The 15,858-nt window shown below is 52.9% G+C and overlaps 4 annotated features.

Moving 5' to 3' along the window:
- Positions 2,996–3,496: an enhancer, noted in NCBI's record as "H3K4me1 hESC enhancer chr4:7151654-7152154 (GRCh37/hg19 assembly coordinates)". NCBI's record gives its function as "activates a minimal SCP1, AML or CMV promoter by ChIP-STARR-seq in primed H9 embryonic stem cells {active_cell/tissue: H9 hESC(primed)}" and the evidence as "EXISTENCE:reporter gene assay evidence [ECO:0000049][PMID:30033119]".
- Positions 9,421–10,399: an enhancer, noted in NCBI's record as "H3K4me1 hESC enhancer chr4:7158079-7159057 (GRCh37/hg19 assembly coordinates)". NCBI's record gives its function as "activates a minimal SCP1, AML or CMV promoter by ChIP-STARR-seq in naive H9 embryonic stem cells {active_cell/tissue: H9 hESC(naive)}" and the evidence as "EXISTENCE:reporter gene assay evidence [ECO:0000049][PMID:30033119]".
- Positions 13,795–14,296: an enhancer, noted in NCBI's record as "H3K4me1 hESC enhancer chr4:7162453-7162954 (GRCh37/hg19 assembly coordinates)". NCBI's record gives its function as "activates a minimal SCP1, AML or CMV promoter by ChIP-STARR-seq in naive H9 embryonic stem cells {active_cell/tissue: H9 hESC(naive)}" and the evidence as "EXISTENCE:reporter gene assay evidence [ECO:0000049][PMID:30033119]".
- Positions 14,297–14,796: an enhancer, noted in NCBI's record as "H3K4me1 hESC enhancer chr4:7162955-7163454 (GRCh37/hg19 assembly coordinates)". NCBI's record gives its function as "activates a minimal SCP1, AML or CMV promoter by ChIP-STARR-seq in naive H9 embryonic stem cells {active_cell/tissue: H9 hESC(naive)}" and the evidence as "EXISTENCE:reporter gene assay evidence [ECO:0000049][PMID:30033119]".

The raw sequence follows: 15,858 nt of genomic DNA on the forward strand, positions 1-15,858 counted from the left end.
ATGTTAATTGCCATCCAGGGCCTGGGGCTGCCTGTCTCGGCTTCTCATGGGGCATTTCTCTGCTACCTGGCAGGCAATCCCATCTCGACATTAAAAAGTCATTTCTTACAGACTGCTTGTTCATTTGTCAGCTTTTCTCCAGACAGAGAAAAGCTGTTTCACCCGACAGATCAGCCCCGCAGTGGAATTTCTCGGAGCCAGTGTTCCTCCCCTCCGTGCACCTCTGTTCTGACACAGTTTCCCCCTTTGGCTATCCAGCTTTGGTTTCTTGAATCTCCCCTCATCAATCATACCCCCGGCTATTCATCGTGTTTGTCTCTCGGAGCCATCGTTCTATGTCTCTCCTGTGTGTAGCAATGCTTATCCCCCTTTCCTGCCCCAAATGGAGATTGATTATCTTCACTTGTGCGCGCAGATGAGAACTCATCCTGTGAGTTCAGACTGCGAGGGGGTCTGGAAGCTCAGTGGGTGCAGGGATCTGCCTCCCAACACCCAACTCCCACGTCTCCTTGGTGCTCAGTGGCCTCGTGCATTGGCGGCCCGAGTGCTCTACAGGGCGAAGGTTGTGCCTCCAGATGGCCGTGGATGGCGAAAGATGGCACGGACACTTCCACCCCACCCTCGGCCTCATCCCACCTGCCGTAACAGGTGCCGGTTCTTGTTGTTTCTCCCTTCTAAAGAGCTCTCATCTCTGTGGCATCCTCCCTTGTGCCTGCCCAGGCCTGGGCCCCCCAGCTCCTACCTGGATCTCCAGAGCCTCCTCCTCCCTTGCTGGCCTCTGTGTGCCCTTCACACTTCAGTGGGAGTGAGTACATCACAGGCAAGCCTGACCCTGCAGCTCTGCGGGACGGGAGGGCCCAGGTCTGTAGCCTGGCTCTGCAGGGCTGTCTTGGCCACGCTCACCCAGGCTCCCCGGCTCCAGCCCATCGGCTCCTGCGATCTGGGTATGTTGCTGCCCTCCCTCTTGCCTCTGGGCCTGAGCACAGGACACTGCCTTTCCTGGTTCAGGTTTCAGGTTTCAGCTTATGGCAAAACTATAGCAATAGTGACAATGATTGCCAGTGTTCATTGCTCTCTTCCACTGGGCCGGGTGCTGAGCTAAATAAGCCCTTGCCATTCATTGTCTCACTTAACCCACAACACAACCCTGTAGGATTGCTGTGACTTTGGGCCCCATTTCACAGGTGGGAAAACTGAGGCTCAGAAGGTTTAAGGGAATGGCCTAGGTCTCATAGCTAGCACAGGGTGGAGCTGAGATTTGAAACCAGGCCTGTCTGAAGCCAGCATCTGCCTGCTTAACCAGGGCACTCGGGGGCTTCCCTCATCCCAAGTTCCTGGTTGGTGCCCCTCCCGGGCTTCCGCTATCACCCCTGTGTCACGAATCAGTTTGATTCTCCACCCCGGGACTCAGCTGCAGAGCCTGGCGTGCCAGTACCCAGGAGACATTTGTTTGGAGCATGAGAGGGGACTGTGTGAGTCGGTGAATGGCTGCTGCTGGCATTGCCGAGGGGTGACGAGCGTTGTCTGGCCCATGGGAATGTGAGGGACACAAGGATGTGCTGCGGTAACAAATAACCCGAGAGCTCAGGGCCCGGCAACGAGGAGCCCGGCGTGGGAGCTCCTGGCACTGGCCCTCCTGGCAACTCTCTCCAAGCAGTGACCCTGGAGTGGGGCACCCTCCCTCACAGCTTCCATGGGGAATGGAGGTGGACCGGGGAGCGGGGATGACCCCTGGGATGCTCTGGCTGGGTCCCAGATTGGTGCACCTCACATCTTCCCACACTGTGGGGGGTAGACCCAGGCCCACAGCCCTACCTGGCCGCAAGGAGGGCTGGGAGGTGCTGCCCGTCTCAGCCTGGAAAGGGGAGGGGAGAAGGCAACAGTGGACCTGGACGGACTCTGTCACAGGGAGAATGTTCTGAGCTTCACAGCTTCCGTCAAAGGAACCCCCAGAAATACCTGGGGGGTTCTCACTCTACTAAGTGAACGGAGATGCTCAGTGCTGTGGACTGACTTGTGTCCCCCACAAATTTCGGTATTGAAGCCCTAACCCCCAGGACCTCAGAATGAGACTGTATTTGGAGGCGGGGCCTTTAAAGAGGTCATTAAGTCTAGGCCAGGCGTGGTGGCTCACGCCTGTAATCCCAGCACTTTGGGAGGCCGAGGCGGGTGGATCACTTGAGGTCAGGAGTTCGAGACCAGCCTGGCCAACATGGTAAAACCCTGTCTCCACTAAAAATACAAAAATTAGCCCGGTGTGGTGGTGCGCACCTGTAATCCCAGCTACTCCTGAGGCTGAGTCAGGAGGATTGCTTGAACCTGGGAGGTAGAGGTTGTGGTGAGCCGAGATGACACCACTATGTTCCAGCCTGGGTGACAGAGTGAGACTTTGTCTCAAAGAAAATAAAAATTAAAATAAAAAAATAGGTCATTAACGTAGAATGAAGTCTTTAGGGTGGAACCTGATCCAATAGGACTGGCGTCCTTTTGGAAAGAGATTAGACACAGAATTAGGTCATGATTCCTGACTTGGCATGGGAGGTGGCTTTTCTGGGTGGGTCAGAGCCTCATAGAAACACATCCGACATCTGTTGGGGGAGGTCCTGGTTGGCCTCGGGGGGACTTGGTGTCTGGGTCTAGGGACCTTCCCCGCTGCTGTTTCACATGGGCCTGGCTCTCTACACTCACTGGGGTCCCCGGGCTTCATGTCAACTAGTCAGGTGAAGTCTTGCTGGGAAAGCCCAGCACACATTGGGAGCACACATTTGTTAAAAGCGGTGTGAGAGTAAACGCCTCCCAGCCGTGCTGCCTGCTCGTGCTCTGGTCTGCTTGGGGTTTCCAGCTAAGCTGAACTAAGCATGAAAATTCAGCTTCCACCACAGAGGACCCGGGGTGCCCTGGGCAGGTGCCCAGCCAGGTTAGGGCTGGGATTCTCACTGGGGTGAAACTCGGGGAAGGAGGAGGCTGTCTGTTGGAAGAGTCAGTCTTTGGCAGGGACTACTCTGCCCTTGAGCAAATGAAGACAAAAGATGAATCCCAAGAAGCCTTGAGATTAGCTAAACACATGGAGGACAGCGGGGCTCAGGAGCAGACCCATGGAGAGGAGAAGAAAGACAAGGGCACCACACCGGCTGAACCGAGGATGCTTCTGCCATTTTTTCTCCTGTCGAGAAAGGCCCCTGGTGAATATTTGCTTTTGCCAAATAAACATGTGTGTCCAGAAGCAGCATCATGCTGTCCTGAGCAGCTAAAGGACAGTGGGAAAACCGGGGTTGCCAAGATTTACGTCTTGGCATGAGGCCTGGGGAATCTGCCCTACATGCTGAGCTCTGGCCACACTGATGTTTCTGAGAGCTGCGAGGAGAAGCTGCTTGGAACCCGGCAGGGCGGGGCTGATGTACCACAGGACGGCCCCTTCAGAAACAAGGGTTGGCCGGACTCACCCCTGGCCTGGGCCATGGGCTTCCGACAGCCTCTCTCCAAGGTGGCTTCAGCAGGACTGTGACATAGGAGGTGGCCTCATCACACCCCACGCAATGTGTGGATGTTCATCGGAGGCAGATCTGCAAGTCCCCTGGTTTCTCTCCCTTGTGCCGCGGCTTTGTCCTTAGAGACGGGTTCCACTGGGTGGGCGTCTGCCATCCAGTGGAGCAGCTTCCAGTTCCAGTGGAGCAGCTCGGGGAAAACGAGGTGGCTGCTGAACGATGCTGGGTTTCTCCCGGGATGGGGGACCCAGGGCAGGGGAGAACATCAGCCATCAGCCTTGCTCCCCTGGCCCCATGGTCACCCGGGCCCCAGAGTGGAGCAGACAGCCCATGAGGGGGTGCTTCTGTCTCCTAAGGTGGGAGAACCAAGTCACCATAAATTGGCTGCCCTCAAACGACAGTTCTCATAGTTCTGGAGTCCAAAGTCCAGGTGTCGGCAGGGTTGGCCCTGCCTGGGGCTGAGGGACGGTCTGATTCATAACTCTTGCCGGCCTTCTGGTGGTTGTGGGCCATCCTCCACACTCCTTGGCTTGCAGCCACCTCACTCGTGGTGGTCAGGCAACTCCCTCCCTTCCTCCCATAACCACATCTGAACTACCTAGTTGATGGGGTGATCTGTGCAGCAAATCACCATGGCACACATTTACCTATGTAACAAACCTGTGTATTCTGCACATGTACCTTGAACTTAAAAGTTGAAGAATAAAAAAGAGATGACACCATTACAAACCTCAGTGGCCCCCAGACCTACGGGTGGGTGTAACTGACAAGTAACTTGCTAATGACAAGACAGATGACTAAGAGTTGGAGGGATGGTCTGGTGGTGACAGGCTCCTACCTCCAGCCCCATGGCATCTCAGCTCAGTTCTGAAGGGTGACAAGAAGCCATTTAGGAGGGAAGGAGCAGCAGCTAGGGCCGAGGTGTGTTCTTCACCCCGAGGGGAACTGCGAGGGCAAAGGCCAGAGCAGGAAACCAAGGAGCCTGGTAGTCCCAGCTCAGCAGGCAACACTGAGCCCTGGGCTGTGAGCATTTGCAGTTATCTCGTTCAGCCTTCACTACACTCTCAGAGGTCGCAGCCCTCCGGCAGATGATGAAACCACAGGTCTTTCTGGGGGCTGGGCTGCAGGTTATGAGGGGCAGGTGGAGGGGCTGAGCTGGGGAGGTGTCCGGGAGAGGGGATGACTGTTAGAACAAGATTCTGGAGGGGAAGTTGAAAATTATCTTGTTCAGCCCCTCCAACTGTAATCTGCCAGCAAACCTGAGACCCAGGGCCTGGTTCATACCTCCGGGACTAGAAACTGACCTTCCCGTTCGCAGCTTGCATCCTTTCCCAATATGCGAACAGAGCTGACAGTCACGAAGGGTTTTACCCTGTTGCATCTCCTGATAAGGAACTGAACTACAGCTTTAGACTAACTCTGTCCCAACAGATGTAAACCATATGGGAGGATCTTTGCTACCCAGATTTAATTAAAAAATTGCAGAAATGGTGTGTGCCTTCCGTAAAGAATGTAAATGTTAGCTGGTATAAAAAGAAAACCCCTGGCCGCGTAACTCCACTCCAGCAGTGACCATTCTTCACCGTTGGGTGGAGTCCTTGAGATTTGCTGCGAATGCATACAGGTATTAAATCATAATTCTCTGTTCCAGAGACAGGAGGGTGTGGGACTTGTGGTTTGGCACCTGGCTCCCACCCCCACCCTGTCAATTGGCTTTACCATTATAAGTTTGCACAAAGCCACCTCTTTTTTTTTTTTTTTTTTTGAGATAGAGCCTTGCTGTGTTGCCCAGTCGGGAGTGCAGTGGCGCGATCTCGGCTCACTGCAAGCTCCGCGTCCTGGGTTCACGCGATTCTCCTGCCTCAGCCTCCCAAGTAGCTGGGACTACAGGCGCCCGCCACCATGTCCGGCTAATTTTTTTGTATTTTTAGTAGAGACAGGGTTTCACTGTGTTAGCCAGGATGGTCTCGATCTCCTGACCTCGTGATCCGCCTGCCTCGGCCTCCCAAAGTGCTGGGATTACAGGCGTGAGCCACCGCGCCCGGCCACCACCTCATTCTTTAGTGGTTGTGGGGTCTGTCTCCATCAGATCGACTCTCCACTTATTTCACAAGTCTGATGTGAAGAGACACCTTGGTGTTTTCCGGTTTTCTGGCTAGCGCACACATTGCCGCCTCACCATCGGGGGACATCATGCTTGTGCGTGCCTGCAAGTCTTCAACCAAGTATTTTTCTAGAAGCAGAATTTCTGGGTCAACGAAGTCACATATTTAAAGCTTCCATAGGGATTGTCGAAATGACCCCAAAGGGCCGTTCCAGTTAAAGTCCCATTGCACAAGGCACAGAAGTCCCCACTTTCCCACACTTTTGTGGTGCTGAATGCTGGCAACCTTTTAAATTCCCACCTATCCGACAAGGGAAGGCAGTTGCTCTTTTTGTAACCTAGTCTGGCCACTGTGGCCCGGGGGCTGCTTCTGCCCTATCATCTCCCTTTCACCTCACCCCCTGATTCCTCTGTTTTGTCCTCAGTGGCCAACTGTTGAGTCTGTCGTCCACCTTGGTTCGCGGTATGCACTTCCCACAGGCCTCTCACACGTCATGTCTACCTGGGCATTCACCTTTATTTTACCCCTCTCTCCATTCACTTTTCTTCACGTTGTTTAATGTGCATTTTTGCTTATGTATGGTGTGCGTGTGTATAAATCTATATGCATGTATTTTTGGGACAGAGTCTCGTTCTGTCACCCAGGCTGGGGTGCAGTAGCGCAATCTCAGTTCACTGCAGCATCAGTCTCCTGGACTCAAGTGATCCTCCCGCCTGGGCCTCCCAGAGTGCTGGGATTACAGGCATGAGCCACTGCGCCCGGTTGTAAAGTGTATATTGATCTCTAATCATGTGCATGCATTTTGAGTGAACTTTTAATTGAAGAATAACATACATATAGAGAATATATATAGAAAAGTGTACAGGTCATATGCATAGCTGGAAGGATTTGCACAAAATATACTAGCCTGTGTCATCAGCACCCAGTTGGAGAAACAGAACTTCACTAGCATCTGTATAGACCTCCCTTGCTCCTCCTTCCCCAAACTATTTGTTCTACAGAGGATGGGTACTGGTTGTTTCTGGTTTGGGGCTATCAGGCACGGTGCTTCTATACCTGATACGTATATGTGGCTTTTGGTGAACACCTGCATAGGCATGTAAGTAATATCCACGTCAATGGCATTGTACTGTACAGCTCCCACAGTTACTTGCTTTCACTGGGTTTGGGTTTTAAAGCTCCATCCCTATTAACTTCAGGGGCATCTCTGCTGCCTCCAGAGACTGCAGGGCACCCTGTGGTCTAACCCACCTTGCACTCCAGGAAGGATCCCAGGCCATCTCCAACTCCTACCACCCTGAATAACGCTGCAGAGAGCAGGCTTGCAGCGTCCTCACCCAGTCCCCTCCCCATCCAGTGGGTGGTTTTCTCCGGTGCGTATGACCAGGGGTGAGCAGGTCTCAGGGTAGCTGCCTCGGCTGCTTCAGTCTGGTTCTGGTGGTTTCAGCAGTGAGCAGCCTTCTCTGTGTCCCCACATTGGGGGATGATGGTTGGGGCCCAGCCACAACATAGGTGCTGGACGCAGCTTCTCCTGTTAAGCGGAAGTTGAAGACACATACTAGAGGGGAGTGTGGATGGTGAGGCTGCAGGTAAGGAGCTCCTGGTGCAGCAGCAGTGCTGATCCGTCCTGTGTGCTCATCTCATGCCCAGATCTGTTCACACTCACCTTACACCCGTATTCAGCTCTATCTGGTATCTAGCTTGGCTTTCATGCTTATTTTAGCAGGGGTCACAGCAGGAGTCTGCTGTGCCAATGATGGTGAGTTTTCTGTGTCCCTGTTCCCACCATGGAAGGTGGCTGGGCTTGAGCCATCTCTCAGGTTCCTTTTCCAAGGCAGTTGGACAGCAGGCAAGGACACCACCAGCAGTGACCCCGGGGGTTGGGGGAGGGACCCACCCCTGTGTAAAATGGCACACAGGCCCCAGCGAGGCGGTGACTGCAGCAGAGACCGGAAGGACGGGAACCCCAGCCGAGGCCGTGGTGGGTCTGGGGTCCCTAAGAGGCTCAGGAGGGAGGAGAGCACAGAGCAGAGGGTGGGCAAAGTCAGACTTGAGGTGTGCAGAGCCGCGGGGCCTCTGAGGGGTGCACCTTGGCTTCCTCGAGCTGGGGTTTTCCTCGAGGCTGCCCGCTCCTTGCTGTGTTCCTGACTCCTCCCCAGGGGTGGGGTGGTTACCTGCAAGTTGGCTGGCTCTCTTGGCTCCACGTATCTTGATACCAAAGGTCCAGGGCTTGGGGGGTCTTTGGATTTGCTCTCCTCTCTGCTCTACCTGGTCCAGCGTTGTAGGAAGCAGAGCCGAGTGTGCAGAAGCAAACCGTTCAGGGGCAGGCTGCTTCGGTCTAGGCTGGTTGTGACTCTTAATCCCCATTCCTTCCAGCCCCAGTGTCGCCCATCTTCAAGGTGACATTTTGTTCCCATCTGCTGGCTCCTCCATTCTGTTGTCTCAGTTGGTTCAGAATCAGGGCAGGAAAGTGGGGGCAGCTTATTGGATCCCTTCCAACACCCAGCCGCTCCCAGAGCAGGCTCTGAGTCTTGACTTGATCCCGAGAGCCAGGGAAAGGGGTCAGACAGCCCCCGCCCTGCATTTTTATTTTGGAACATTGAAAATCTAGAGAAAGTTTGAAAACGTAGAATCATGTTAATCTGTATGCTTTTCCCTCGGTCTAGCAGTTTTAACATTTAACTGTGGCTGTTCCCACTCTCTCCAGTACATACATACATAGAAAAAAAATGCAGAATATATACACACACATATACGTAGGATACACACACACACACATGTTCTATGTGTATGTGTGTGTATATATTCTATATTCCATGGGCATACACACATGGAATAGTATCTACAATACACACACATGCACACAGGCTCACACGTGTGCACACACACACACACACACACACTCTTTTTGGTTTGCTGAACTGTTTGAAAGTGAGTTGCAGACATCATGATACTTAATCCCCAAATGCTGCAGCTTGTGTCTCAGGAGCAAGGATGTTCTATCCAGTCACAACACAATTGCGTTAGGGTTCTCCAGAGAAACACAGCCAATAGGATGTGTATATACGTAGAAGCAGATTTATTATAAGGCATTGGCTCACATGAGTGTGGCGCCTGCAGGTCTGAGATCTGCAGTGCAGGCCACAGGCGGAGACCCAGGAGAGCCGGCGGTGCGGGTGGAGTCTGAGGGCGTTTCCGGGAGAATTACTTCTTGCTCAGAGAGGCCGGGGTTGTTTTGCGTGAGCCAAGTTTTCTGAAGATTCATGAGAAGAACAATTCTGCCTCTAAGGTGGGTTGAACTGACCTTGTTTCTGAGTTCCAGGACTGCTGACTCACTTGGGCTGGAGAAAGCATTTGAAAGGGAAAGAGCTACTGGGGAACGGGGCAGGATGTGACTTGAGGAGCCCGGGCTCTGCGGCCACGTGCTGTGTGGCCCTGCTCAGTTTCTCCCTAGTTCGAGTTCTCAGGCACGGCGTCCTGCAGGTGAGGGCTGCAGGGCCAGAAACCCTCCAAACCGTTGCTCTGCCGCTCACTGGCTGTGCCGCCCTGGCAGCCTACCCAAGCTTGTTGAGCCTCAGTTTGTCCATTTCAGGGTGATGCTGATGGTCTTGACACCACAGGCTTAGTGTAAGAGTTAAAAGAGACAATAATTGGCAAAGGGCCTGCCCGGAATCTGTGACATATTTTTGTAATTAATAAATAATGGCTCTAAGTATTACCAAATGGGGTAATGATTATGAGCCCTGAAGTGGCTGTAATTATGATGAGTTGTTGACTTTTAAATTAAAGTCATGGGGACTAACAAGAGTCTACTGTCAGTGCTGGCACGTAGAAAACCTAATGGTCAGTCCTTGGAGGCTCTCACTCGGGAACAAATTCCCGCCTGCTGCCATTTCAGCACAGAAAGAGTAAGATACACATCTGTTTCCTGTCAGAGTGGGACTGACCCTCCCTCCAAGGACAGTTAGAAAATGTAACAGCGATAACAACGGGGACCTCTGTGTGGAGATGTCGGAGAAGTAACGAGACAGTGAGGAAATGGTGGGGCAGGATCCAGGGAGGAGAGAGGCTCGGGGGGTCAATGCAGCATTTAGGGGTACTGTGATTCTAGAGCACGCTTTCTGAGACACTGGCCGGGGGTTGACAACATCGTGTGGCTAAGGGACGGGAGTCCAGGGCTGTGGTAGGCTGGACCCTAAAGATATCAGGTCCCGGTCTGTGGAAACTCGGACTGTTAGCTCGCAAGGCAGAAGGGACTTTGCAGCTGTGATGAGGGGCCTTGAGATGGGAAGAGCATCTCCATCAGCTGTGTGAACTCCATATGTGGTGACAGCCTCCTTGTGAGAGGGGCAGAGGGAGACTAGACCCTCCAGGGGGAAGCCACGTGACCACCGCAGTAGGATGCAGTGCTGCTGGCTTTGAAGGTGGAGTGAGGGCCAGGGGCCCAGGAATGTGGCCGTCTCTGGAAGCTGGGAAAGGCAAGGAGACAGATGCTCCCTGCGGCCTCCTGAGGAAGTGCAGCCCTGCCCACTCCTTGGCTTTGGCCCAGTGAAAGGGATGTTGAATTTCTAGCTTCCAGAACCATAGGAAAGTGAATATGTGTTGCTCTAAGCTACTATGTGTGCAGTAGTTTGTTACAGCAGCCACGGGAAACCAATGCAAGGACCCTCCATGGGAAAGCTTGTCCTGGGAAACCTGCCATGAGCTGGAACCCCGAGGGGCTGGACCGCATCAGTGACAGTGAGCCAGAAGTGGACAGATCCTTGCAGATACTGCACTGTGGCAAATAATCTTAATTGGTGAAGTTGTAGTGAGGCCATCCTGGATAGCCAGTGCCCCAGGCCACCAGCAGACAGAGACAGAGATGACATCAGACCACTTGCTCGGAGCAAAAGCCTTGGAGTCATCCTGGAATGGCATCTTCCTCCCGTGCCCCACGGTCAGTATGTCAGCACACGGGGCTGTCCAAATGTACCCTCTTCTAGTCTCTCCTTTTCTTGTTAATTCCACCCTGATTTGAGCCCCTACCCTCTGATAGCTGGATTACTGAGACAGCCTCCTTTCTGGCCTCCCTGCCTCCACCATCACTGTCCTCTAGTCTGTTTTCAAGTCAGCAGCCAGAGTGATCTTTTTAAAACTTAAGTCAGACCACATCACTCCACTGCTGAAGACCTCAAAATTTGGGGTACTTTGTTCTAGCAGCCTGAATGGACAAAGACATCTGCCTAGAATCTGCCTGGAAACAGCTTCCCACTGCACTCAGACCAAAAGCCCAAGTCCTTGATGGTTTACAAGGCCCTACGTGGCTCCGCCGCCAGCCTCCTCTCTGATAGCGTCTCCTATTCCCCTCCTCCTCGCTCACTTGCTCCAGCCACGGTGGCCTCCTTGCTGTTCTTAGGAAACAAGCAATGCTCCCATCTCAGGGCCTTTGTACCTGCTGCCTCCTTTGCTACGGTGGTTGAAAGTTTGTGTCTTCCCCAAATTCAGCTGTTGAAATCCTAGGCCCAAGGTGATGGTTTTAGGAGTGGGGCCTTTGGGAGGCGAGGAGGTCGTGAGGACGGAGCTCACACTGATGGGATTAGTATCCTTATAAAAGCAGCCTGAGGGGGTGTGTTTGCTCTTTCCACTGTGAACAGAAAATATCTTGGGCCCCTCAAATCACTAAGGAAAACTCCAGCTGGAAAGTGCTTAGGGCAAACCTGCCTCCCATCTACTCAAAGTGATCCCTCTGCTCACTGAGATAGATGCGTATCTAATTGCCTCCTTCGGAAAGCTAATAACAAGCTCAAAATAATGCAACCCTTTGTGTCTCGCCTATCTGTGACCTGGAAGCTCCCTCCCTCCCGGCTTGGAGTCTTCCTGTCTTTGCTTCAAGTCGTCCCACTTTTCCTGACCAAACCAATGTACTTCTTACATATATTGATTGATGTCTCATGGCTCCCTAAAATGTATAAAACCACGCTGTGCCCGGACCCCCTTGGGCGTTTGTCGTCAGGACGCGCCCTCCTGAGGCTGTGTCCCAGGCACGCATCCTCAACCTTGGCAAAATAAACTTTCTAAATTAACTGAGACCCGTCTCAGATGTTCTGGGTTCACATCACCATGCCAGGCGACACAGTGGGAAGTCAGCAGTCCGCAGCCTCGGAGAAGGGTCCTCATCAGAACGCGACCATGCTGGCACCCTGATCTTATACTTCCCAACCTCCAGCATTGTAAAGAATAAGTGTATCTTGTTTATAAGCTGCCCAGTTTATGGTATTTTGTTAAAACAGCCTGAAGAGAATAAGACATCTGCCTAGAACACTCTTTCTCCAAATAGGCACACGGCTTCTTCTCTCGACTCTTTGAGGTCTTTGTCAAATGCCCTTTCTTCCCAAGGTTGCTGCCTTCTTGGGATGTTTAAAATGACTTCTTGTTTGAGCCTCTCCAGAAAGCAGAGTCTGAGGCTGGGATTGCAGTGTTAATGCTTCATTTGGGAGGTGCAAGCCCCGGGTGGTGAGGATGAGGGGGAGGGGACCCACATGTTCCCAGTTGCATAATGAACTGCGATGACCATCCCCAAAGCACTCAGCCATTGGGTCTGTGCAGCACACAGGAATCCTGCAAGTGTTCGCAGGCAGGGATCACATTTGGGAGGCGTCCACAGGTGACAGCACACGGCGGGGGATGCATCTGTCCAGCTCTGTCATCCCCTGTTTCTCACTGGTCAAGTTTCACCTCCAGGGAGCAAATTCACCTGCAGGCCGGGGTCATTTTCTCCAGCACCTGGCTGGCCCTTCGGCAGGCAGTGGGTGTGATGTTTTATCCAAGTGTGCAAGTGCAGGGCGACACAGGTGGGTGTCGACTGAGAGGGAGGGAGGAGACAGGCCAGGGAATTAGAGACCCAGTTGTCTTCACCCCACTCCCACCCTGCCCCCACCGCCTCCCTTACCTGCTTTTTGGCTTAGAACCTGGGGTCTGACATGCTCTAGGGTTTTATTGATTCTCCACTGATTGTCCCTCTCCCTGCACTGCTCAGTTTCTTCTGTATTCACGGCCTCATTCCCTGTGGTTATGACTATGCTTAACATGTCCCTGGCACTCGAGAAATATCTGCTCAATGAAAAAATGAAAGAGGACTCTTTGCGGCTGACGCTCCGACGCTCCTTTTTGGAATGGCAGTGTCAGTGCTGTAGGATTACATGTTTTTCTCTATGAGTCTAATGCCGTTTCTTTTCTTTTTCAGAGACAGGGTCTTGCTCTGTCTCCCAGGCTGGAGTACAGTGGTACAATCACAGCTCACTGCAGCCTCGATCTACCGTGCTCAATTGATCCTCCCACCTCAGCCTTCAGAGTAGCTGGGACTACGGGTACACACCACCACGCCTGGCTAATTAAATTTTTTTTTTCTTTTCTTTTTTTTGCAGAGATAAGGTCTTGCTATGTTGCTTAGGCTGGTCTTGAACTCCCGGCCTCAAGTCGCCTTGGCCTCCCAAAGTTTACAGGTGTGAGCCAACACACCTGGCTGCTATTTCTTGGTTCCATGCACCAGATAACATTAATTTAACCATATCCTGATGAGCGCCATGTGTTGGGTTCCATGGTTTAGAATCTCCTCCTAGACAAAGTACACAAGACTTCACTGGAATTAGGAGGCAGAGGGTGAATGTTTAACCTAGAGGTTGTAAAATAAATACGTGTGTCTGTGTGTGTGGGGGGGTTAAACATCTGGGAGGATCAACACTCACACGTTCACAGTGGCTGGACTGGGGAGTGGGGGGCGCTTTAACTCTATACATTTCTTTATATACCTCTATATTGTCAGGGTTTTTTTCTAACAAGCATGCATTCCTTTTACATTAAGTATTTTGTTTTTAAATAGAAAAAGAAAAGCCCAATTTGAAGATCTGGAAGAATCAATGTCAGTTCTGAGGCCAGTCCAAGCCCTGGAGTCTGAGGCTGCAGAGAAGACCAGGGCAGAGCGGCCCGGCCAGGCCCGCCTTGGGGCTGCTGCGTCTCAGGGGCAGGGGGTGCTGCCCCAGAGGGAGGCTGGCTGGAACCAGAGCTTGCTTTCCAGTCAGCACAGGGGGATCACTGCCAGCCTCGCCACTCCATCGGCTGCTGCTGCTGAAAGAGGACAGTGTTGCAGGCCGGCACAAGGCTGGATGTAGAGAATCCAGGACGCCCGTTCTCCGGGAACTGGCACATATCTCTAGAGTGGCTGCTGCCAGGGTGGTGATGTGCCCTTGGAGTCAGAAGTACTGGGGCTGTTAACTGTGTGTGTGTGATCCTGGACGAGTCACTTTATGCCTTCATTCATTCATTCATTCATTCATTCTTTCTTTCTTTCTTTCTTTCTTCAATCCCTGAAGGTCTACTTTATACCGAGCCCTGTAATGGGCACCATGAGTGAGGGATGCATAAGATGCGGCCCCTGCTTTCAGGGGGCTCCCAGGCTAGTGGGGGAGACAGACTTGCAAATGGGAAGTGCTCAGAGCCATCCAGTGGGTGCCAGTCTCCCACCTGGTGGCAATGCCCAGGCCAGCTGTTCTAGAGGGCAGGCGCTCAGTGACCTCTGTCTGCACTCAGGACAGGGAATCAAGACTCAGGAATCAGGGCAGAATTCCTGGAGGAGGTGGCAGCTGAACTGAGTCTTTGTGGAGTTAGAGAGTCCAATGTGGGAGGAGGGGTGCGTGCCGGGAAATGAGGAGGCGGCTTAGAGGAGGGGAAGCTGTGCTCAGGAACGGCTTTGTCACTGGCCTGGGTGGTGGGGGCAGTAAATGAGGTGAGGCGTGGAAAGGCCAGCCCAGGGCAGGGCTTGGTGCATGGGTCAGCCCCGCCGCAGCAAAGCGCCTGTACTCCCAGCTACTCAGGAGGCTGAGGGGGGAGGATCGCCTGAGCCTGGGAGGTCAAGGATGCAGTGAGCCCCAGCAGTAGGGCCATGAGCTTTGCCACCAGGCCCAGCTATAATACTTTGTTTTTTGTATTTTTTGTAGAGATGGGGTCACACTATGTTATCCAGGCTGGTCTCAAACTCCTGGGCTCCCAAACTGCTGGGATTACAGGCATGAGCTACTGCATCTGGCCACCTGGGTGTTTTAAAGGGAGAATGATGGGATGGGAGAGGGTGAGCAGAGGCTCAGCAGAGCCAGAGAGTGAAACATTACAGAAAGCAGACGGGGGTCAGTCCCTGTGAAACCCGCCTGAGTCTGCAAGCTGGTGCCCATTGAAGTCAGGTTCCTGCCCTCCCCATGGGCTGGGGGACGGGGCTGTATCTCTGGGCATGGCAGGAGCCAACAGCAGATTCTTCTGGCAGCTTTGAGTTTCTCAGGCAGGCACTTTCAGGGAGCTGGCACCATCCTAGGGATGTGGCCTTGAGCTGTCAGAAACCATGTGGGAGGTTATATTTTTGTTGGCCAAGACTGAAGCCTGCTTGAGAAGAGGGTTTGGAGGGCCTGGCTGGAGTGTGGTTAGGGAGAGAGCCTTTTCCAGGCGCCTCTCCTGGCTGTTCCTGGTTGCTGGCAATCCCTGGTGCTTTGTAGCTTCTGTATCCCTGATCCCTGCTTTCCTCTTCACACGGCGCTCTCCCTGTGTGTGTATCTGTGTCCAGATATCCCCTTTTTATCAGGGCACCTGTCCTGTCACATTAGCGGCCACCCTCCTCCAGGGTGACCTCATCTTAACTCATTACATCTGCCACGATTCTATTTCCAAATAAGGTCCCATTCTGCAGTACCAGGGCTTAGCGCTTTAGCGTATGGATTTGGGGGTACACAGTTCAACCGTAACAGGCAGTTATTATTATTTTGAGATAGGGTCTGGCTTTGTCGCCCAGGCTGGAGTGCAGTGGTGTAATCTTGGTTCACTGCAACTTCCGACTCCCAGGCTCAAGCAATCCTCTTGCCTCAGCCACCCAAGTAGCTGGGACTATCTACAGGCATGTGCCACTATGCCTGGCTAACTTTTGTATTTTTAGTAGAGACAGGATTTCACCATGTTTCTTGGCCAGGCAGGTCTCGAACTCCTGAGCTCAAGCGATTGGCTCACTTTGGCCTCCCAAAGTGCTGGGATTACAGGCATGAGCCACTGCGGCTGGCTGGCGAGTTATTATTTTTAACCTCACTGCTTCATTAGCATTTCCATCCCACCACGCCGACCCTCTGTGAAGACTGGAAAGGAGGGATATCCTTGGTGCCATGCTGAGGCCTCTTAGGGAGTGGAGGAAGAAGGGTGAGCTGAGGGCCCCAGCTCGGGCCTGTTTTTATCTCCATGTCCCGGGAAGTCTCGGC

This window comes from Homo sapiens, chromosome 4, assembly GCF_000001405.40.
Source record: "Homo sapiens chromosome 4, GRCh38.p14 Primary Assembly".
Classification (NCBI taxonomy): Eukaryota; Metazoa; Chordata; class Mammalia; order Primates; family Hominidae; genus Homo; species Homo sapiens.